The 24,405-nt window shown below is 42.9% G+C and overlaps 1 long non-coding RNA gene and 2 pseudogenes across 2 annotated transcripts in view; 1 reads left to right on the forward strand and 2 right to left on the reverse strand.

The window, feature by feature from the left end:
* FAM66A (family with sequence similarity 66 member A) overlaps positions 1-24,405 on the forward strand; it is a 48,983-nt gene that overhangs the window by 5,100 nt on the left and 19,478 nt on the right. The window contains exons 2-4 of the long non-coding RNA NR_026789.1: positions 1,121-1,184; positions 20,840-20,901; positions 21,149-21,216. This is a non-coding gene — a long non-coding RNA (family with sequence similarity 66 member A). The remainder of the gene's footprint in view (positions 1-1,120; positions 1,185-20,839; positions 20,902-21,148; positions 21,217-24,405) is intronic.
* Positions 7,236-8,428, reverse strand: LOC100421094 (ubiquitin specific peptidase 17 like family member 2 pseudogene; annotated as a pseudogene).
* Positions 12,149-12,671, reverse strand: LOC649352 (ubiquitin carboxyl-terminal hydrolase 17-like protein 2-like; annotated as a pseudogene). The gene has a single exon (NR_046415.1). The product of NR_046415.1 is annotated as a ubiquitin carboxyl-terminal hydrolase 17-like protein 2-like (transcript).

Genomic DNA, 24,405 nt, shown 5'->3' on the forward strand with positions numbered 1-24,405 from the left:
ACAGTCTGTGAAGTTTTCATATATTTAGGGGAAGCTCCACATTAATTTTTGTATCCTTACGTTTATAATGTCTCCAGTATTAAAATTCATACTATTTAGGTCATTGAGTTCATTATCATGATTATTAATTATTTTTCGTATATCATTTCTTTTTATTGGTTAATTTTTGTGGCAGCTGTTATATAACAATCACTAGAGTTTCCCTATTCATGAAAGATGTCCAAGTTAATGGAGATAACTAGGAGTGTTACTTCACAGGTATGTAAATACAGATAATCTTGGCTGAACTGTGGCTATATTGTCTGGTGTCCCTTTGAGGGTGAAGCCTCTTGTATTATTCTAAGTGACCTCTGGAGAAAGCAACTGTCTCATAATTGCAGGGACGACTTGAGAAGGCATCCTAAGCCTATGCAGAAATGTAGAAACACTTCCATTATCTAAACAACCTATGTGAAGGCCTGAAAGCCAAAGCAAGATCCTCTTGTTACAAAGCTGTCCAACAAAAAGTTTTCCAAGTAATACTGGAGGTCCGTCAGTCAGTCTTCCTGGTCTGGAAATGCCAGAAATGTCCTCCTTGGTCCTTCTGAGAGTCAAGATCTTTTCAAAATCACCTCAGGAGCCACAGAACCACTCCATCCTACCTGAAATTGCAGGATGACTCTTCTTTTGACCAGAGTCTCAAAAATATATTCGTTGATAGTTTTGATTCCTGGGAGCCGCCATTGCTTGCAAAAGATGTGCCAGAGACTAGACATTTTCTGTCTCCTCACTTGTCCGGGGAAGACTGAAGTTTTACTGAAACACAGAGATGGGAATCTGACCCTCTGAGCAGCCGCAGGATATTCTAAGTCTTCCAAGAAGAGTAGAAATACTGGTGAGGACCCATTGCACCCCCTGATGGTCTGCAATCACATAGGATGATGCTTTCAAACAACTCTAGGTGTAGATACATTTTCTGAGATATTCCAAGGAGGAGGGACACAATTGGACCAGATGTTAGAAGGACAGCTGAGCATTAAGTGCCTATGTAGTGTTTGCAGCTTAGTGTCCCATGCAGAAGGGGAATCTGGGCCCTGGTGTTAGAATTCAGTGTAATTCTGGGTTCCTGCTTTCCTTCCAGGAAATCCCACTTCCAGCTAGATGTCTGCATGAACTACTGAAAGCTGCTGAGTGTCTTGCAGCAGGTGAGCTGTGGCCAGAGCTCAAGGATGAAGGGGACTCCCTCACTCTGTGACTGTGAAGAGGAAGCCTGAGGTGTAGCAGGCCCAGGCCCCAGAAGTATGGAAAAAATGAGGTAGGGAGGGAGGGGACCTCAGGAGAAGACTGAGGTCTACAGAATCCCAGGGTCAAGGGGATGGTGCGGTGTCCGGGCACTGTCCTTGATGTTCCAAGAGGGGTGAGAATCCATCTCCTGAGTAAAAACTTCACATGGAGTGAGGAGGGGAGAAGTGAACAGAGAGGAAGCAGGGAAGGCCAAGACAGCGACCAGCCTCACAGCAATTTTAACCAGAAATGGACACAGACCCTGGACCCCATCACAGGAGTGCAGGCCTAAGACTGTCTCCAGGTGATGCATAGCTCCCTTGTCAGGTTAGTGGGTGCAGGCATTGTGACGTCTGCAGGGGTGTGGAAGGCTGGGCAATGGGAGCAGCTTACTGGGCTGGACCAGAAATACTGAACTTCTTTTCCATCAGTGAAATCCGCTTCTGGGTCAGAAAAAACTGCGAGTTCCAGAGGGGCAGGGCCTAGGAGGAGGTCAGGTCCTGAGCCCTCCTGGTTTGACCCCCTCCCACCCCCTGTGTTTCTGGGTCTGTCCTCAGTTCCACCCAGCAGATCCTGAGTCTCTTCCTTTGAGTCCCCGTGAGTGTGTTGTGTGCAGTGGGGCCGGGCTGCTTCATCCACTGCACATTAAATGTTTCCAATACTTTCCGGCCAAAGCTTAGAGTTGTCAGACCACTGAATTTGAATGTTGACCTGGTTCCTTGTGGAACAGAGTAATAGCTATTGAAGTTTAAAGTCACTTTCCTGCGTGGATGGTGAAGAGGCAGGCTGTTCAGGCATAGCTGTCCTCAGGCCTGGAGGGCTGTGGAGGTCACCGTGGGCGGTGGGTGGATCCGGAAACTCTGTGGCTCTAGACTTTCAACTATTTTATTTTTTCTTTTGTATTTTTTGTTTGTTGCTTGCTTTTTTACAATGGGAACTAGAATGTAAGATGCCAAACTCAGCCTGTGGGGAACATGGATTTTCACAACAGCAACCACAGAGCGTGGTTTCCATTTCTATTCCCTGTTCATGTGGGAGGCAGAGAAGGAAATCAGGTGCTCAGTTCCAGGGACATCACAGGACTAGGACATGTGCAGTGAGGGTGGAAGGCAGAGGCATTGCTTTAGGAGAATAAAATTACTGCATGCACACACATATGTATGTATATGGATGTATGTACACAAACATGCATATTTATAGATTCTGTTCTCCCTCTCTCTATTTAATTTTCTTTATTTCACACTTGATATGATTTCTAAATTTAAATACCTTTGAGACAAAGGTGAATTGTGAAGGGATTTAAAAATGTCAGTGAAAAATGGAATTAACAATAAAAATATAAATATAAACTTTATTTCTCAATATAAGCTCTATTGAGGTCCAGACACTCCATTAAGGGATGATCCCAGCCATTCAGTCCATTGCTAAACAACTGAGGGTAACGGGAATTTAACCGTGTCAATGCAGTCTTCTTTTACTAACTAAAGAAAAATGAGTGCCCTTTACAGTTATTTTAAGATTAGGGAAAAAAAGGTCAGAAGAAAACAAATCAGGACTGTAATGTTGATGCCTAATAATTTCCCATGAAAACTCTTGCAAAATTACCCATGTTTGATGAGAGGAAGGAACAGAAGTGTTGTTGTGGTGCAGAGGGACTCTCTAGTGAAGCTTTACAGGGCGCTTTTCTGCAAAAGTATTTGCTAATTTTCTCTAAGAACTCTCCTAGTAAGCAGATGTTATCGTGCTTTGATCTTACAGAAAGTCAACAAGCAAAATGCCTTGAGCATCCCCAAAACCTCCATGGCTTTAGCTTTTGAGAAGTTTGCTTTTGCTTTGACTGGACCACTTCTACCTCTTGGTAGCCATTGCTTGAATTGTGCTTTGTCTTCAGGATCTTATTGATAAAGCCAGTTTCACTCCCTGTTATAATTCTTCAAAACAATGCTTCAGGATCTTGATTCCGCTTGCTCAAAATAGTCACTAATAGCTCTGCTTTTGTCCACTGCTCATCTAGGCACAAGGGTATTTGGGACTCATCAAATGTAAAGTTTCTCAACTTTCACGTTATAGTCAGTATTGTGTAACCTGAACCAATTGAGATGTCTGTGGTGTTGGCTGTAATATCTCTTGTTAATTGTCAATCCTCCTCAATTAGGGCATAGAAACGATTTTTTTTTTCCTCAAAAATTGGTATGGATGTCCCTCCTCTGTTGACTTCATCTTCAACATTGTATTATCTCTTCTTAGAATAAGGTATCCATTTGTAAATGACTGATTCTTCAGGTCATTTTTCCCATAGACTTTTCATAAAGAATAATTTATTTCACCATTTTTTGTACCCCAGCTTCACCGTAAATTTGATGTTTGTTCTTGCTTCAGGTTTGACAGAATTCATGTTGCTGCCATAGAGGGGCTCTTTTCAAACTGATGTCTTAAATCTTGTTCACGTATGTTAAAACAGGGCCAGGCACGGTGGCTCACGCCTGTAATCCCTGCATTTTGGAAGGTTAGAATAAAGTTTTTTAAAACTTTATTTTATTTCATTTTAAGTTCTGGGCTACATGTGCAGGATGTGCAGGTTTGTTACATAGGTAAATGTGTGCCATGGTGGTTTGCTGTACCTATCAACCCATCACCTAGGTATTAAGCCCACATGCATTAGCTATTTATCCTGATGCACTCCCTCCCCACTCACTCCCAGACAGGTTCCAGTGTGTGTTGTTCCCCTCCCTGTGTCTGTGTTCTCTCATTGTTCATCTCCCACTTATAAGTGAGAACATGTGTATTTGGTTTTCTGTTCCTGCATTAGTTTGCTGAGAATAATGACTTCCAGCTTCATCCATGTCCCTGCAAAGGACATGATCTCATTCCTTTTTATGGCTGCATAGTATTCCATGGTGTATATGTATCACAGTTTCTTTATCCAGTCTATCATTGATGGGCATTTGGGTTGGTTCTATGTCTTTGCTATTGTGAATAGTGCTACAATGAACATACGCATGCATGTATCTTTATAATACAAGAATTTATATTCCTTTGGGCATATACTCTGTAATGGGATTGCTGGGTCAAATGGTATTTCTGATTCTAGGTCTTTGAAAAATCACCACAGTCTTCCACAGTGGTTGAACTAACTTACATTCGCACCAACAGTGTAAAAGTGTTCCTATTTCCCCACAGTCTCACCAGCATCTGTTGTTTTTTGACTTTTTAATAATCACCATTCTGACTGGCATGAGACGGTATCTCACTGTGGTTTTGATTTGTATTTCTCTAATGATCAGTAATGTTGGGCATTTTTTTCATGTTTGTTGGCTGCATAAATGTCTTCTTTTGAGAAGTGTCTGTTCATGTCCTTTGCTCACTTTTGAAATTTTTAAATTTTTATTTTTTAAGACAGAGTCTAGCTCTGTCACTCAGGGTGGAGTTCAGTGACACAATTTCGGGTCACTGCAACCTCTGCCTCCCAGACTCAGGTGATTCTTCTCTCTCAGGCTCCTGAGTAGTTGGGATTACAGGCCCGCACCACTACATCCGGCTAATTTATTGTATTTTCAGTAGAGACGTGGTTTCACCAGCTTGGCCAGGCTGATCTTGAACTCCTGGCCTCAAGTTATCTGCCCACTTCACCCTCCCAAACTGCTGGGATTACAGGCATGAGCCACTGTACCCTGGTTTTCCCCACTTTTATATGGGGTTGGGTTTTTTACAGTTTTGGGTTTTACATTTAAGTCTTTCATCCATTTTCAGTTCATTTTTGTATAAGGTATAAGGAAGGGGTACAGTTTCAGTTTTCTGCATATGTCTAGCCAGTTTTTCAAACACCATTTATTATTAAATAGGGAATCCTTTCCCCATTGCTTGTTTTCATCAAAAATAAAATGGTTGTAGATGTGCAATCTTATTTCTGATATATCTATTCCATTCCATTGGTCTATGTGTCTGTTTTGTACCACTACCATGCTGTTGGGTTACTGTAGCCTTGTAATATAGTTTGAAGTTAGGTAGCATGATGCCTCTAACTTTGTTATTTTAGCTTAGGATTGTCCTGGGTATATGGGCTCTTTTTTCATTCCATATGAATTTTGAGGTAGTTTTTTCTAATTTTGTAATGAATGTCCATGGTAGTTTATGGGAATAGCATTGAATCTATGAATTAATTTGGGAAGTATGGCATTTTCATGATATTGATTCTTCTTACCCATGAGCATGGAATGTTTTTCCATTTGTTTGTGTCCTCTCTTATTTCTTTGAGTAGTGGTTTGCAATTCTTCTTGAAGAGGTCCTTCACTTGCCTTGTTTGCCGTATTCCTAGGTATTTTATACTCTTTGCAGCAATTGTAAATGGGAGCTCATTTGTGATTTGGCTCTCTTCTTGTCTATTGGTGTATAAGAATGCTTGTGATTTTTGCACACTGATTTTGTGTCTTGAGACTTCACTGAAGTTGCTTATAAGCTTAAGAATCTTTTGGGCTGAGATGATGGGATTTTATAGATATAGGATCATGTCATCTGCAAACAAAGACAATTCAACTTCTTCTTTTACTATTTGAATATGCTTTATTTTTTTCTCTTGCCTGATTTCCTTGGCCAGAACTTCCAGTACTATATGGAGTAGGAGTGGTGAGAGAGGGCATCCTTGCCTTGTGCCGAATTTCAAACGGAATGCTTCCAGGTTTTGCCTATTCAATATGATATTGGCTCTGGGTTTGTCATAAATGGCTCCTATTATTTTGAGATATGTTCCATCAATACCTAGTTTCATGAGGTTTTTAATTTAAAGGAATGTTGAATTTTATCAAAGATCTATTCTGAGTCTACTGAAATAATCATGGGGTTTTTGTCTTTAGTTCTGTTTACATGGTGAATTACATTTATTGATTTGTGTATGTTGAACCAGCCTTGCACCAAAGGGATGAAGCTGACTTGATCTTGGTGGATAAGCTTTTTGATATGTTGCTGGATTTTGTTTGCCACTATTATATCGAGAATTTTTGCATCAAAGTTTATCAGAAATATTAAACTAAAGTCTAGTAAATACATTGAAAATAATAACAGACTGATTAAAAGACTAAATAATATGAATCCTAAGTGTTCTCACAGCTGATTTATAGAGTAAAAGCATTGTCAAACCAAATGAGCTTGGATAGAAACTGTATAGAGTCTGAGATGTTGTCTGAACTTCCAGTCACTCATTGTGAAGTGGAACTGCAGTAACTACATTTGGTGCAAAATTTCATGTCGATGGAAGCTGATATGTCCTGCAGTCTCAGAGGGACAGAATTCTGGTGTATCTCCCTTTGGCCTATGAGGAATGAAGATTTAGGCTCTGAGGGTTTTGTCAAAATTTATAAGATGTAAGAAATGGGGACGTCTTTAGGCCATGAGGCAAGGCCTAGTGGTGTAAAGAAACAGCTTCTGACCCAGGGCTCATGAAGTCAGCATGGTGTCAGGGGCGATGGTGGAGTGAGCATAGTATGGTTTTTGGAACCATTCCTTCCTCTTATTTCTTCACAGGCCAGGTATGCACAACCAGGGGGCATCTCGGGCCTGATGAGCAGAGTCCTGAAGAGACAAAGGGGCAATCCTGAGGAAGAGACTTGACAGGGAGGAAGGAGCCACCAATTTCACTCCTGAGGGAATTCTTCCTCCCCAGTAAACCATAGGATTTTCCTTTGTCTCAGTGAGAGTTTTCCTGAGTGAAGAGAAAAGAGAGAGAAAGGGACTGATGTGTTATCTGTTACCACCACCTGAAGTGATTCTGAAACGTTGGGGGAAAGGAGAATTATCTTCAGAGTCATAAGCAATCCAGAGGCCATGGTTACACATAAGAGAGTGGAAGTTCTTATCTCTGGGGGGTAGGCACTAGGCATTGATATTGGTTAAAGCTCATTCACTGATTACAAAGTGAGACAAATAAATACTCCACTGCAAGATTTATTCATGACATTTTATTTCACACACAATTCACTTGCCTTCACGCAAAGAGCTCTCGGTTCCCTGCCTATGGACACACTGTAACTGGGTCTTCCAAATTCATTCTTCTGGATGTAAAAGAGGACATAGGCCTGTTGACTCAGGACAGAAGTGATACCGGAGGCAGTGACCTCGGCATCATCCATTTTATACCAATGGCCTTCTTGAGTTTGACATAAGATAAGTAATGTCCGTTGTGACAACTCCACCCAGCGTGGACCAGCACAGCATAGAGGACATAGACAAGAGGTCCTGTGTTCTGCTGAGACATGTATGGCTGCATGTCAAGGCACTCAGGATATTGCACATTCTTGGCAAGTTTGTTGCCTGTGACATCAGAGAATCTCTTCAATACAAGGATGAGGACCTTGGCAGAAGTGTGTAAAGTTAACGTCCTGGAGGTAGGCGCCTTCTGGAGACAAAGACCACAATGATAGGCATTTTATCCATTGAGTTCTTCGGGCTTCACCAACTGTTCCAAAGCTTGCTTGACACTCTGAGCTGCCTGGATATCCAGGGCGATGTCCAGGTAAGGGTCAAAGGTGTCTGAAATCCCATGGCAGTGGAAACAGTTGATGTGAGATCTCCAGTACCCTCCAAATATTTGGTGGATGAGGGTGGTGTCCTTAGAGTGATTATCTAAATGCTTGTGCCCGGGAAGGAATGCTTTTTTCATGGCATCCACAGTGAACATGAGAAATTCATGGGCATCTTCCTGCTCGCCTCTATGGAAGCCAGCAGCCAACACCTGTGAAGGCTGGATGACATGGCCAGGACTGTGGAGGGGCCATGTGATGTGAGCTTGCATAGTACAGAGCATGCAGCACTTGTGACGATGACACGTTTGAGAGTGCTCCCGGGACAGCATGTAGTTGGCAAGGGGCGGTGTGTATGTCAGGCACTGCAGGGAAGCGTTCACGTAGCAGGTATTTCCCATATTCTGGAGCCCAGCCCCCACCGCAGCAGGTCTCCTGCTACTCAGAGGAAGCTTCTCCCTGGGAGCGAGCTGTCTTGCCACAGGAGCCAAATCATCACAGAGGTCGACGCGGGTCTCAGATGAGAGTGATGACTTCTCAGAGAGAGAAGTCCGCTGGATTTCAGCAAAAGCTGCATCTGGCCGAGAAGATGTGAGTTTTGAAAAGTGGTTGAACTGCCACTCACCTCCCAAGTAGAGTGAGTCGTCCTCCATGTCGCCCGGAACAAGGATCACAGGGTTTTTCGGCTGGGACCGCAGGTTGCAGAAAGATGCTATCTCTTCCGAGAGAGTCTTCAAATGACGAGCTCTCTGGCCGCATCAGCCCTTATATAACTCACCCCCACCAACCGCGAACACCCCACCCACCCATCAGGTGCGCGATAAACCAATCAAATATCAGCACTCAATTAAGGAATGAGTCACAGGGTGTGTCCCCTTGCATCGCTGGGAATTCAACAGACACAGCCCACATCATGACTTCTAGAACACCTGAATCAAACTACTCCTCAGGCTGATAGACACATGTAATATGAGTGTAACCGGGTTGGGACAGTGGCCACACAGTTGCCTTATTTTAGGTAAAACAATGTCAGGGAAGAAATCTTTACCTATGAAACCGTGTGTGTGTGTGTGTGTGTGTGTGTGTGTGTGTGTGTGTGTTTGTGCCGGGATGTACTTCCAAATATGTGCTTTTGGCAGATACCATCATCCTCTCAGCGATGGAAGGACAAGAAGTCGGAAGTGCGCTTTCTGACCTGAGAATAGTCAATGAAGTATAGTAATTAGCGCAGTGTATCTTTTTCCTTAATAAGAAAGGAGAGATCCGTGGAATCAAACAGACCTTCCAGCGATAACCTTTCCACGTTCAGCCTATTGATTCTCTATCCGAGTGAAATTACCTGCCAGTGGAGAACAAGAGAAGTCTTTGCATGAAATGCTCTTGTGGAAGCTAGATGGCAAGTAATAAAGCATCAAGTGGTAGAAACATGCACTAAAGTCTGAAGAGATACTCAGTGCACAATGTAGAGTGTGTAAGACTTTGGGGAAATCATGCAATCACCGAGAGACTAATTGATGACATTCCGCAAATTTATGTGTGCCAGAAAAGAGAGATGAAAATGACATTGTATAGTGAATGGTTTCGGACGTGCGACGGCAGTTTAAGAAAACCTGAAACAAAAAACTTGAGAAATCAGAAGGTATCCCAACTATAACCTTTGGTTTATTAAAGAATTGATGAAAATAAAAACAACGTATCTCACAGCATGGGTGATAATATTTTCATACGTATGTGATAATGGATCAACATTTGATAGAGATGAAATGAAAAGTTCTAAATTTGACAAAAGCAAACACCGAAAATTGCACCGTAGAAAAGCCCTGGTGACGGGAGTGAGGCCCTGTCTCAAGAAGAAAACATTGGAGAGATTTAAAAGCAGAGAGTGAAACCCAGGATAGCATAAGATTGTTAATACTGGCCCTTGTTTCAGTGGGAAAAGGCAAAAATAAGCCGTGTGTCTCCTGGATTCTCGCATCGATTGTTCAGGATCTGAGATGTTGCCTCCATTTACAGTTACGCATTGCATGGTGGAATTGCAGTTAGCACATTTGGTGCAAAAATTTTAGTGCTGACGAAAATGGACATGTTCCCTGAACTAAGAGGGACATAATTTGGGTGTGTCTTCAGGCTCTCTGGCTTACCAGGATTGAAGATCTAGGCTCTAGGGATTCTCCCAAAATGTCTTAGACAGTAAGCACTGGAGCAGAATTGAGGCCCGGCGCCAAGGTCTCGAGGTGTAAAGAAACAGCCGTGGCCTCAGGGCCCATGAAATTAGGATGATTTTAAGGAGGATGATGGAATGAGAGGACTGTGACCTTTGGCCCCGTTTCTTTCCCTTGTTTTTTCATGGGCCAGGTGTGCTCCATCAGAAGGCTTTCTGTGCCTGATGTAAAGTGTCCTGGGTGAAGAAAGGGCACTGCTTAGAAAGGTGCTCCACAGGGAGAAAGGAGCCACCGTTTTCAGGAGAATGATCCCCAGAAGCATGAGCAATCCACATGCCGTGGCTTCACACAAGACGCTGGAGGGTCTTATTCCTGGAGCCGGGACCTGGGCATCGGTGTGCTTTAATGCTCATAACTGATTTTGAGGGGAGCCCAATCGATAACCTGTCTGCGAGTCATGCTCGTCACACTGTAGTTTTCACACACGTCACAGAGAGACCCTGTTCGTATGCACATTGGGGTGCTTGAGCAGGGTTGCGCCCACGATTCTGTGGTACTACGGAGCCCTGAGTTGTGCCCTGGACAGCTTTCTTCAGGGGTTGGTCAACTTTGATCACTGCACCTAACAAGAAAGGGACCATGAAATCTAATCAGCAAATACAGAAAAGGAAGGGGCCATTTCCCACAATAATTTCCACAGAAACACCACGTCGAATAAATAAGTCTGATTGCAGGACAGGGACTGTGCTTCAGAGGTGCAGCTTTCGCAGCTGGACGAATGACCCGGAATCTCCCCAAATGCCATTTGTAAACACACCAAATGAGGTTTATTTCAGGGCTTTCTGAATGTATTTTAGTTGAATACACACACTCCAGTGTTTGATTTCCTTTAGTAGCAATAAGACTTAGTTCCAAATGACTTCCGTGCTAGTGGGAAAATTTTCTGTTTCGACTCATTGGAAGTGGACACCGTGAAACAGGCAAGTCGGTCTGTCTGCTTCCGGCGTTATGTGGGTTCCAGCAAGAGCACAAGTCCCAGGGCGCCTAAGGTCCATTCAGAAACCAAAATAAAATGGGCGAGCCAGGGTAAGAAAGGAGAGCACCGTTCCTATCTTCCAATTGAATTCCAGTATCCACTATTCAACGTGGCGAGAATGATCCACGGATGTCCCACATGAGCAAAATTTCACCTTCTCTTGCCGACCAAGAACTGATGAATGAAACAAACCCCAAGAGGAAATAGTAAACCATGTCCCCTGCAATAACCTCACACGCAAACCTACACGTCAATAGGTCACATTAAGAAATACACACTGAATGTCATCTACCATGAACACAAACACACAGACAGTCCCTCCAGAGGTTCGGAAGACTCACGACCCCAAAACTTGATGTTTCCCATGTGTGGGCTCATCCTGAGATGCAGCCGTCACTATCCAGTTGTCCCTGTTGTAGAGACAGAAACTGGGGCTCCTCATTACTTTATGTAGGATAGACGGTGTTCGTGTTTGTGTGGGTGTGTGTGTGTTTCCTTGCGCGCTTGTGGGTGTATTTGTGTTTGTGTGTGTGTGTGTGTGTTTTTCTCCCCTACGTGTGGGTCGGCACTTCCACTGAGATCACTGGCACACAAGCAGAGCCCTCTTGCAGTGTTTGTTCTTCCCTTTGGATCTCCTGGTCCTCCCTTGCAGAGAAGCGAGTGTGCCAGTGTTCATGGACTCCTGATCTGTCGGGTTCGTCGAAGAGAGGTTTAGCAGGGAGCTTTGCTGTTCAGGATGATGGTTTTTCATCCCACACTTGTATTTTGATTGATGAATCACAAGTACGTTGGGAGGCAGGGTACCTTCAAGTTTTCTGACGTTGAACTCAGGCTTCGTTTTGTTTTGCTCTTGGAGGAATTTCCAGTGGTCTAAGGTGCTTTCCTGAGTGGCTCTTTCCACCAAGTGCTCGTCCAACTCGGGTACCTGGAGGCAGGGGTAGTCTCTCTTGAGCTCTCCTTGCGTTGCTCGCCTGTCTGTGTCTTCAGCGCCGAGGGCTCTTGGTTCCCTGCCTCTTGACACACTCTCACTGTGTCTTTCCCATTCACTCTTCTGGATGTAAAAGAGGACATAGGCCTGTTGACTCAGGACAGAGGTGATGCCAGAGGCAGTGACCTCGGCATCATCCATTTTATACCACTGGCCTTCTTGAACTTTGACATAAGAGAAGTAATGTCCGTTGTGACAACTCCACCCGGCGTGGACCAGCACAGCATAGAGGACATAGACAAGAGGTCCTGTGTTCTGCTGAGACATGTATGGCTGCATGTCAAGGCACTCAGGATATTGCACATTCTTGGCAATTTTGTTGCCTGTGACATCGGAGAATCTCTTCCATACGAGGATGAGGATCTTGGCAGAAGTGTGTAAAGTTTACGTCTTGGAGGCCGGCGCCCTCTGGAGACAAAGACCACAATGATAGGCATTCTCTCCATTGAGTTCTTTGGGCTTCACCAACTGTTCCAAAGCTTGCTTGACACTCTGAGCTTCCTGGATATCCAGGGCGATGTCCAGGTAAGGGCCAAAAGTGTCTGAAATGCCGTGGCAGTGGAGTCACTTGATTTGAGATCTCCAGTACCCTCCAAATATTTGGTGGATGAGGGTGGTGTCCTTGGAGTGATGATCTACCTGCTTGTGCCCGGGAAGGCATGCCTTTTTCATGGCATCCACAGTGAACATGAGAAATTCAAGGGCAGCTTCCTGCTTGCCTCTATGGAAGCCAGCAGCCAATGCCTGTGAGGGCTGGATGACATGGCCAGGAATGTGGAGGGGCCATGTGATGTGAGCTTCCATGGTACAGAGCATGCAGCACTTGTGACGATGACATGTTTGAGAGTGCTCCCGGGACAGCATGTAGTTGGCAAGGGGCGGTATGTATGTCAGACACTGCTGGGAAGCGTTCACGTAGCAGGTATTTCCCATATTCTGGAGCCCAGCCCCCACCGCAGCAGGTCTCCTGCTACTCAGAGGAAGCTTCTCCCTGGGAGCGAGCTGTCTTGCCACAGGCGCCAAATCATCGCAGAAGTCGACGCGGGTCTCAGTTGAGAGTTGTGACTTCTCAGGGAGAGAAGTCCGCTGGATTTCAGCAAAGGCTGCATCTGGCCGAGAAGATGTGAGTTTTGAAAAGTGGTTGAACTGCCACTCACCTCCCAAGTAGAGTGAGTCGTCCTCCATGTCGCCCGGAACAAGGATCACAAGGTTTTTCGGCTGGGACCTTATGTTGCAGAAAGACGCTATCTCTTCCGAGAGAGTCTTCAAATGACGAGCTCTCTGGCCGCATCAGCCCTTATATAACTCACCCGCACCAACGGCGAACACCTCACCCACTCATCAGGTGCGCGATAAACCAATCAAATATCAGCATTTAATTAAGGAATGAGTCACAGGGTGTGTCCCCTTGCATCGCTGGGAATTCAACAGACACAGCCCACATCATGACTTCTAGAACACCTGAATCACATTACTCCTCAGGATGATAGGCAGATGTAATATGAGTGTAACCAGGTTGGGACAGTGGCCACACAGTTGCCTTATTTTAGGTAAAACAATGTCAGGGAAGAAATCTTTACCTATGAAGCCGTGTGTGTGTGTGTTTGTGTGTTTGTGTGTGTGTGTTTGTGCTGGGATGAACCTCCAAGTATGTGCTTTTGGCAGCTACCATCATCCTCTCAGCGACGGAAAGAGAAGAAGTCGGAAGTGCGCTTTCTGACCTGAGAATAGTCAATGAAGTATAGTATTTAGCACAGCGTATTTTTTTCCCTAATAAGAAAGGAGAGATCCGTGGAAACAAACAAACCTTCCAGCGATAAGCTTTCCACGTTCAGCCTATTGATTCTCTATCCGAATGAAATTAGCTGCCAGTGGATAACAAGACAAGTCTTTGCATGAAATGCTCTTTTGGAAGCTAGGTTGCCAAATAATAAAGCATCAAATGGTAGAAACATACACTGAAGTTTGAAGAGATACTCAGTGCATAAAGTAGACTGTGAAAGACTTTGTGGAAATCATTCAGTCACCGAGAGACTAATTGATGACAATCCCCAAATTTATGTTTGCCAGAAAAGAGAGATGGTCATGACATTGTATAGTGAATGATTTCGGATGTGCGATGGCAGTTTAAGAAAACATGAAACGGCCGGGCGCGGTGGCTCACGCCTGTAATCCCAGCACTTTGGGAGGCCGAGGCGGGTGGATCATGAGGTCAGGAGATCGAGACCATCCTGGCTAACAAGGTGAAACCCCGTCTCTACTAAAAATACAAAAAATTAGCCGGGCGCGGTGGCGGGCGCCTGTAGTCCCAGCTACTCGGGAGGCTGAGGCAGGAGAATGGCGTGAACCCGGGAAGCGGAGCTTGCAGTGAGCCGAGATTGCGCCACTGCAGTCCGCAGTCCGGCCTGGGCGACAGAGCGAGACCCCGTCTCAAAAAAAAAAAAAAAAAAAAAAAAAAAAAGAAAGAAAACATGAAACAAAAAACTAGAGAAATCGGAAGGTATCCCAACTATAACCTTTGGTTTATTAAAGAATTGATGAAAATAAAAACAACGTATCTCACATCATGGGTGATAGTCTTTCCATACGTATGTGATAATGGATCAACATTTCATAGAGATGAAATAAAAAGTTCTAATTTTGACAAAAGCAAACAACGAAAATTATACCGTAGAAAAGTCAGGGGGAAGGAAGTGAGGCCCTGTCTTAAGAAGAAACATCGGAGACTTAAAAGCAGGGAGTGAAACAGAGGATAGCATACCATTTTTAATACTGGCCCTTGTTTCACAGGGAAAACGCAAAAATCAGCCGTGTATCTCCTGGATTCTCGCATCGATTGTTCAGGATCTGAGATGTTCCCTCCATTTCCATTTATGCATTGTATGGTGGAATTGCAGTTAGCACATTTGGTGCAAAAATTGTAATGCTGACGAAAGTGGACATGTTCCCTGAAGTAAGAGGGACAGAATTTGGGTGTGTCTTCAGGCTCTCTGGCTTACCAGGAATGAAGATCCTGGCTCTAGGGATTTTCCCAACCTTTCTTAGACAGTAAGGAACAGGGCAAAATTGAGGCCCGGCGCCAAGGCCTCTAGTTTTAAAGAAACAGCCGTGGCCTCAGGGCCCATGAAATTAGGATGATTTTAAGGAGGATGATGGAATGAGAGGACTGTGACCTTTGGCCCCATTTCTTTCCCTTGTCTTTTCATGGGCCAGGTGTGCTCCATCAGAAGGCTTCCTGTGCCTGAAGTAAAGTGTCCTGGGGGAAGAAAGGACACTGCTTAGAAAGATGCTCCACAGTGAGAAAGGAGCCACCATTTTCAGGAGAATGATCCCCAGAAGCATGAGCAATCCACATGCCGTGGCTTCACACAGGGTGTGGGAGAGTCTTATCTCTTTAACCGGGACCTAGGCATGGGTGTCCTTTAATGCTCATAACTGCTTTTGAGGTGAGCCGTATTGATATCCTGCCTGCGTGTCATGCTCATTGCACTGTAGTTGACACACATGTCACACAGAAACACTCTGAATAAGCACATTTTTGTTCTTGAGCAATCTTACACCCAAGATTCTGTGGTTCTGCGGAGCCCTGAGTTCTGTCCTGGACCTCTCTACTCTTGTGTAGGTCAACTTTGATCTTTGTACCTAATGAGAAATGGACTATGAAATCTAATCAGCAAACATACAAAAGTAACGGGCCATTGTCCACAATTGTGTCTCTCCGGTAGGTCATCTTTGATAACTGTACTTAACAAGAAATGCATATGTGACGATTCCAAATCAAAGAATCTCATGGTTTTTCGCCATTTTATTTAATTCTGTTAACGTTTAAATAGAGTTTAAAACCCAAGATTTGGCATGAAATCTAATTGTCAAATACAAAAAAGGAAGGGTCGATTCTTCAAAATCTTTTCCACTGAAAGACCACCACTGATAAACAAGTATCGTTGCATTACAGGGATCCTGCTTCGAAGATGCAACTTTCACAGCTGGATGATTGACCCAGAATCTCCTCTAATGCCATTTTTTTACCCGCAAAATGGATTTATTTTAGGGCTCTCTGATTTTATTTTAGTTGAATACACCCACTCTTGTGTTTCAATTTCTTTCAAACGCCTTTAAATAATTAAGTATCTTGCTGCATCAGCCCTTATATAACTACTGTCCACCCACCGAGACCATTACATTTATCCATCAATTACCCTGTTTACTAATGAAATATCAGGATTCAATTAATTTTTTTGTCTTAGGTTGTATCCTCTTGCATTCCTCAGAGAATTTAATGGACACAGCTTACATTGTGATTATGGAAGATTTGAAGCAGATTTACTTGTCAGTATTATGGGCAAATATGATAGGAGTGGAACCGGGTTAGGATAGGGGCTAAACATTTGCCTTATTTCATGTAAAACAATGCTAGTTAACATTTGTGTACATAGTAAACAGTTTGTGTGTATGTGTGTATTTGTGTGTTTGTTTCTGGATGTGTCTGCATGCATTGAGAAGTACTTCCAAGCATGTGCATCTGTGACATAAGATTCAGCGACTAAATGACAAGAAGTTATAACTACACTTTCTGACTTGAGAATTTGCAGCAATGGTATGTCATTAATACAGCATATACTTTGTCTTAATTAAGATGGAGAGATCAATGGAGTCAAATAGACATTCCAGAGATAACCTTCCCATTTTTGGCCAGTTGATTCCATATCATGTTGTAATGATCTGGCATTGGGGAGAAGACAAGTCTTTGCATGAAATGGTCTTGTGGAAGCAAGATATGCAAATAATAAAGCATCAGATGGGACTATTCCCCTCAATAGTGAATGTAGAAACATTCACTTAAGTTTGATGAAATTCTCAATGCCCAAAATAGATTGCGAAACACTTTCAAGAAAACATGCTATAACCCGGAGACTAATTGATGACATCCACCGAAGTTATGACTGCAAGAAAAGAGAAATATTCATGGCATTTTTAATCCAAGGGTTTCTTGTATATGACAGCATTTTTTAAAAAGTCAAAATCAGAAAAGCTTCACAAATTGGAAGATATCTAAGCTAAAACCTTTTGTTTCTTAAAAGAACGATAAAAATAATTGCAATGTAACACACGGCCTGTGTGATAATGTTTTAATACATATCTAAAAATGCCTTAAAATTCAATAGAAATAAAATAACAACTTCTAAAACTTGACAAAAGGAAACAACAAAAATTACACACTGGAAAAGCCTGGCTGACTGGAGTGACATCCTGTCTCAAGAAAGAACAGACAAACCCACAAACAAGCAAAGGATTCTAAAAGCAGGGAATCAAACAGATACTTGTACACCATTCTTCCTACTAGCACTCTTCATAGTAGGAAAAGTCAAAAACAACCCAAATGTGTGGTGAATTACTTCATCAGTTTTTTAGGATCTGAAATACTGCCTCAATTTTCAGTTACTCATTGTGGAGAGAACCTGCAGTTACCACATTTGTTCCAAAATTTTATGGTGATGAAGGTAAACCTGTCCGGCATTCTCAGAGGGACAGAATTCTGGTGTTTGTCCAGGTTCCTTGGCTTACCAGGAATGAAGATCCGAACTGTACAGACTTTTTTCAAAAGTATGTACATATGTATGTATGTATGTATGCATGTATGTATGTATGTATGTATGTATTTCCTCTTTTTAAATTTAAAAATTACAGGATACATGTGCAGAATGAGCAGGTTTGTTATATAGGTATCCTTTGCTATGGTGGTTCGTTGCACCTATTGACTTATCCTGTAAGTTTCCTTCCCTCACCCCCAGCCCCCAACGGGCCGTGTTGTGTGTTGTTCCTCTCACTGTGTCCTTGTTTCCTGAATGTTCAACTTTCACTTATTAGTGAGAACATGCCGTATTTGTTTTTTTTTTGTTTTTGTTCCTGTGTTAGTTTGCTCAGTATGATGGCTTCTAGCTTTATCCATGTGCCTGCAAAAGACATAATCTCATTCCTTTTTATGACTGCATAGTATATTTTGGTGTATATGGACCACATTTTCTTTATCCAGTCTAGCAATGAAGGGCATTTGGGTTGGTTTCATGTCTTTCCTATTGTATATAGTGCTGCAATAAACATACATGTGCATGTGTCTTTATAGTGGAATGATTTATATTCCTTTGGGTACATAGCCAGTAATGGGATTGCTGGGTCAAATGGTATTTCTGGTTCTAGATCCTTGAGGAATCGACATACTGTCTTCCACAATGGTTGAACTAATTTACAATTTCACCATCAGTGTAAAAGCCTTCCTCTTTCTTCTCAGCCTCACCAGCATCTATTGTTTCTTAATTTTTTAATAATCACCATTCTGACGGGTGTGAGATGGTATCTCACTGTAATTTTGATTTTCATTTCTCTGATGATCAATGTTGTTGAGCTTTTCAAAAATATATTTGTTGGTTGCATAAATGTCTTCTTTTGATAAGTTTCTGTTCATATCTTTTGCTCACGTTTGATGGGGTTGTTTGTTTTTTTGCTTGTAAATATGTTTAAGTTCCTTGTCAACTTTGGTTATTAGACCTTTGTCAGATGGGCAGATTGCAACAATTTTCTCCCATTCTGTAGTTTGCTTTTTCATGCTGATGATAGTTTCTTTGCTGTGCAGAAGGTCTTTAGTTTAATTAGATCCAATTTGTCAATTTTGGCTTTTGTTGCAATTGCTTTTGGCATTTTTGTCATGAAGCCTTTGCCCATGCCTATGTCCTGAATGGTATTGCTTAAGTTTTCTTCTAGGGTTTTTATGGTTTTGGATTTCACATTTAAGTCTTTAATCCATCTTGAGTTAATTTTTGTATAAGGTGTAAGGAAGGGGTCCAGTTTTGGTTTTCTGCCTATGGCAAGCCAGTTTTCCCAGCAGCATTTACTGAATAGGAGATCCTTTCTCCCTTGCCTGTTTTTGTCAGGTTTGTCAAATATCAGATGGTCGTAGATGTGTGGGGTTATTTCTGAGGTCTTTGTTCTGCTCCATTGGTCTATATGTCTGTTTTGGCAGCAGTAGCATGCTGTTTTGGTTACTGTGGCCTTCTAGTATAGTTTGAAGTTAGGTAGCGTAATGCCTCCAGCTTTGTTATTTTTGCTTACAGTTGTCTTGGCTATACGGGGTATTCTTTGATTTCATATGAAATTTAAAATAGTTCTTTCTAATTATGTGAAAAATGTCAATGGTAGCTTCATGGGTATAGCATTGAATCTATAAATTAGTTTGGGCAGTATGGCCATTTTCACAATATTGATTCTCCCTATTCATGTGGATGGAATGTTTTTCCATTCGTTTGTGTCCTCTCTCATTTCCTTGAGCAGTGGTTTGCATATGTCCTTGAAGAGGTCCTTCACATCCCTTGTACTCCTAGCTGTATTCCTAGGTATTTTATTCTCTTTGTAGCAATTGTGAATGGGAGTTCATTCTTGATTTGGCTCTCTGCTTGACTATTGTTGATGTAAAGGAATGCTTGTGATTTTTGCACAATGATTTAATATCTTGAGTCCTTGGTGAAGTTGCTTATCAGTTCAAGAAGTTTTTGAATTGAGATGATGGGGTTTTCTAAATATAAAGTCATGTCATCTGCAAACAGAGACAACTTCACTTTCTCTCTTCCTATTTGAATACCCTTTATTTCTTTCTCTTGCCTGATAGCCCTGGTGAGAACTTCCAATACTATGTTGAATAGAAGTGGTTACAGAGGGCATCCTTGTCTTGTACCAGTTTTCAAAGGGAATGCTTCCAGCTTTTGCCTATTAAATATGATGTTGGCTGTGGGTTTGTTATAAATAACTCTTATTATTTTGCAATATGTTCCATCAGTACCTAGTTTACTGAGAGTTTTTAACATGAAGGGATGGTGAATTTTATCAAAGGCATTTTTGCATCTATTGAAATAATTGTCTGGTTTTTGTCTTTGGTTCTGTTTATGTGATCAATTACATTTATTCGTTTGTGTATGTTGAACCAGCGTTTCATCCCAAAGATGCAGCCGACTTGATTGTGGTGGATAAGCTTTTTGATGTGCTGCTGGATTCTGTTTGCTAGTATTATATTAGGAATTTTTGCATTGATGTTGTCAGGGATATTGGCCTGGATTGAGCAGGTATGTGTGTGTGTATGTTTCTACCTTGGTTTGCCAGTAGGTTGATGTGTGAGTGTGTGTGACTTTGTGTGTGTGTGTTTGTGTGTGTGTGTGAATATGCGATAGAGAGCCAGACTAGAGCAGAGGAGGTTCCCTGGCCTGCCATGACATTAAATGTTCTGAATTCAAGATACCAAGGGAGGCATGAGACCCACAGTTGAAACTTCATGATGTGGCCAGGTTTCAGGGGTTTCTGGGAGCTGCCAGTGGGCATGTCTCAGGCTTGCTCCCACTGACAATCCATGTCTTCTCCCTAAATGGGAAATGGCACTGTATGGAGAACAGGCAACAGAGAGCATGATGTAAGGGTTCTTCCTCATACTCACTAGGAAAGAAAACAGATTTCATCATCTCTCACTCCATTCCCTTTGTAAATCTATAGACACAGGGGTCAGTTACCTTAAATATTAGCAGAGCTAAAGTCCTCAGACCAAATTAGATGTCCTATCTTCTCATGTGGATCAGATCCTAAAAAAAAACTGCTTCCTGTGGTCATTATCTTTTATCACAGGCCATTTTCAATCCAGAGGAAGACCTTCTAAAAGAGGTGATGGATGGGAGAGTGCTGACATACTATGTGAAGCTACTATTTGGAGTTGGACACGAGTGCATGTGACCTTGTGCCACAGCGGGAATGTGAGCTGGGTGACAAATGGAGATTTGGACTTGTGATAATTGGCCTCTGTGTCATTGTGTGGAAGACTGACTGGTCCCTTTATTTCCCGTAGCTTGACTACCACACAAATGAATCCATTCAAATGTTGGCAAGTGGAGCAGAGTCCCAGGACAGGTAAAGCACTTTCCCTGCTTTTTCTTAAGATCAATCCCCATGCCTAGAAATTAAAGTCACATCCCACATGATCATTAAAGTAGAGAGTGCATTCTACAGGATGAGTGAAAAGGCATTTATGATTCTTGGGGGCAGATGTTCTACAGTTGCCTGTGCTAGTTCATGTCTTTCTGCAGATCACATTCTTAACCTCTAGAGAGTCTGGCAGGACCAGAGCCTTACCTTTCCCAGTCTGCAATCTCTACAGGTACAGAAACACCCCCAGTTCAAGAATCTTCACATCTGAATTTAGTCCTACACCTGCAACTACCCCAGGTAAGTTTCCTTGTTCTTCAATGGCAAAGTTTGGACAATGCTGTTCAAACTCCAGGCAACAAGCAACATCTAGGGAATGTGCTTTTAGGTAGGGTCAGCATAATATCCCACCCTGGAAGACATTTTTATTTTAAAGTTGTAGAGGGTGATGCTGCTGGCGGCTCCCTCCCAATTAGCACCATTTGCAGCCTCTTTTGAAGACAGAGAACTGAGGGCTGTCCTTCAAATGGAGCAGTGTGATTCCAAAAAAAAGAGATGCTCCTTGTGGTCCTGGGACCAGGGATAGGACTCCAGCTGAGCCTGGTGGAAGAGGTCCACGTCCTAGCCCAACGGAGAGCCATGCAGCTGAGCTTGGGCGATGTGGTCCACGTGGTTGTTTCTGAGTGTGTCCTGAGGTTGCTGGATGGCTTGCAGTTCCCTATGCAGATCCAATGCTTCTTTTGCTTTTTTGGTTCTGCAACCTGGAATTTATATGTTCAAGATGGAGCCATCTCAGCCATGACAACAGAGAATGTACCACTCTCACATGAGGAAGAGGGGTAGGAAGTGCTCCTGTATCACCAGCCCTTAATGAGACCCTGAGGAAACCACATCATGGAGATCAGCCCTTCTCTCCTGTAAGGAACTCATCCTATGAAAGAGCAATTAGTGCCTGCAAGAGCTGTCTCTGGGACAGCTGTTCATGTCTATATCTGCAGGGTAACCCTCATAGTCATATGCAGTCATATCCATAGTCATATCGGGAGTCAGACTCCAGTTTGACTGAGTGAATGGAGAAACTAAACATTTATTACTGAATAATAACATTAATAAACCATCTTAATGATAGTAATAATAAACATATTGATGAGTATTAACAGGAATGATGATTATTATGATACTAATATCCATAATTAATAATTTTAATATTGATAATAATACTAACCCTGTGGACTTGGGACCTAGAGAGCAGTTTCCCCTGACAATTATCCCATATTTGGCCACATGGGGTAATATTGAGTTCCAGAAGGCAAAGATTAACATTCAGAAAAATAGGAAAAACAACCTGCAGGTAGGCATGTGCACACATGGGGACTCTATGGATAAATACTAAAGTGACTCTTGTTCTGGATCTCCATGCTAACAAACATGCACCAGCTTTCAGGAGGTAGGACAGCTGGCTGATGGGGCAAGGCTTCTTGAGGACATGGCAGGAGTCAGAAATCACACATGCTGCCCAGCAGCAGAGCTCATGACAAGCAGTAAACCCCAGTGAAAGGACCTGGCTGCCCTTCTGCCATCTGCTCTCCCATGGCCTCTGTTGACTGGTACATCTAGGCACTGGAATAACCTTCACTGGCTATAGGAAGGCATAATCCTCAGTATTCTCCCACCTGCAAGAAAGACAAAAATTAATTGAATACCATGGCTTCTGGGTATCCTTAGTGGGCTTAGTGTATTTTGCATTTGTTTTAACAGGCCAGTTATCCAGGCAGTGACTTTCAGTACAGCTACAGTCACCTCTGGACACCTGTGGAGACTTTAAAAATTTCCAGAAGTTCAGGAATTTTTGGACACCTTTCTCATGGCTATGTTGCCTGCAAAGGTGAATCAATAAGCTTCTGAACTGACTTAGAAAATGTTGCAGAGACTCTTGTGAGCAGATAGACCCTCTCCTGCCACTCCAGATAGACATATCTGGGTCACACACACCTGATTTAACAACATCTCGTTATCTCAGGTGGGCAACAGACAGCAATTTAGGACCTATCCCAGTGTGGATGAGAGATATTGAGTTGGCTTAGAAACATGTTAGATAGAATAGATGTGGCAAGAAAGCCCATTCTGGGGCTCAAAAGCCTGCACATAGAGTTGCTGGCACATAAATGGTATGTATAAATTCTTTCTCAGCCCATGAGATCAGGATGTACTTCATCAGTATACCATGCTGGTATGAAGAGATTCTTGCCTCCAAAGGGACTCAGAATATTTCAGGGAACCTGTATTAGTCCATTTTTACACTGTTGTAAAGACACTACCCCACACTGGGTAATTTACAAAGAGAAGGTGTTTAATTACTTTACAGTTCTGCATCGCTGGGGAGGCCTCAGGAAACTTACAGTCATGGTGGAAGGCAAGACAGAAGCAGGCACCTTTTTTCACAAGGTGTCAGGGAGAGAAGTGAGTGCACAGAAAAAAAAAACAAAAATCACCTACTCTTAAAACCATCAGATCTCCTAAGAATTCACTCACTATCATGAGGATAACATGAAGTAAACTTCTTCGACACATGGCGATTACAGGTCCCTCTGTCGATGTGTGGGGATAATAATTTGAGATGAGGTTTGGGTGGGGACACAGAGCCAAACCATATTATTCTGCTCCTGGCACCTCCCAAATCTCATGTCTTTTATATATATTTCAAAGCCAATCATGCTTTTCCAACAGTCCCCCAAAGTCTTAACTGATTCCAGCATAACTCAAAACTCCAAGTCCAAAGTCTTATTTGAGACAAGTCCCTTCTGCCTATCAGCCTATAAAATTAAAAAAAAAAAGTTAGTTACATCCACAATGGGGGCCTCATGACCCTGACCAGTGCCCTATCCTACTGTGGCTCAACTGATATCCAAGATGCAAGACAAAGTCCTTTTTACTCTTTCCTCTAATCTCCTCTAGCAGAAGGAAGCGGTCTTTTTTGGAGCTGCAAGCTGTGCTGCCTGGGGTTGGGGGAGTGGTAATGCAAGTACTCCTTTAGCTGTCCTGGCTGGTGTCTCAGTAGGTTTTATGGCCACTCACCTCAGTACACTGGCTCTGAGTACAGTACTATTGTGTCTGCAGTAGTGTATGAGATGGAAAATAAGTCTCCATTATCCAAGACTCTTCTTGAGCATCAAGGCTGCCTGATTGTTGAGCTATAGCTACAGACTTTCCTCGCTGAGCCCAGCATGCACATGTTCCTCTGCTGGAAAAAAAAGCAGAAACAAACAAACCACCAAACAACTTCCCACAAGTGGAATGTTCTGGGACTCAAGGTCATCTAGATTATTTTGTCCCCAGGGTGCTCCCTTGATGTGGTGTGCTTCCTCTTTCCTCAGAGTAGGAGTCACTGAAATTCAGATTACTGCATATGCTGCTGCTGCTTCTCTGGGTCTGGCTACCCAGTGGGGCTGCCGCACACCATGCTGGTGCTCAAGAATGTCTGCAATGGAT

The sequence above is a fragment of the Homo sapiens genome, chromosome 8, assembly GCF_000001405.40.
Source record: "Homo sapiens chromosome 8, GRCh38.p14 Primary Assembly".
Classification (NCBI taxonomy): domain Eukaryota; kingdom Metazoa; phylum Chordata; class Mammalia; order Primates; family Hominidae; genus Homo; species Homo sapiens.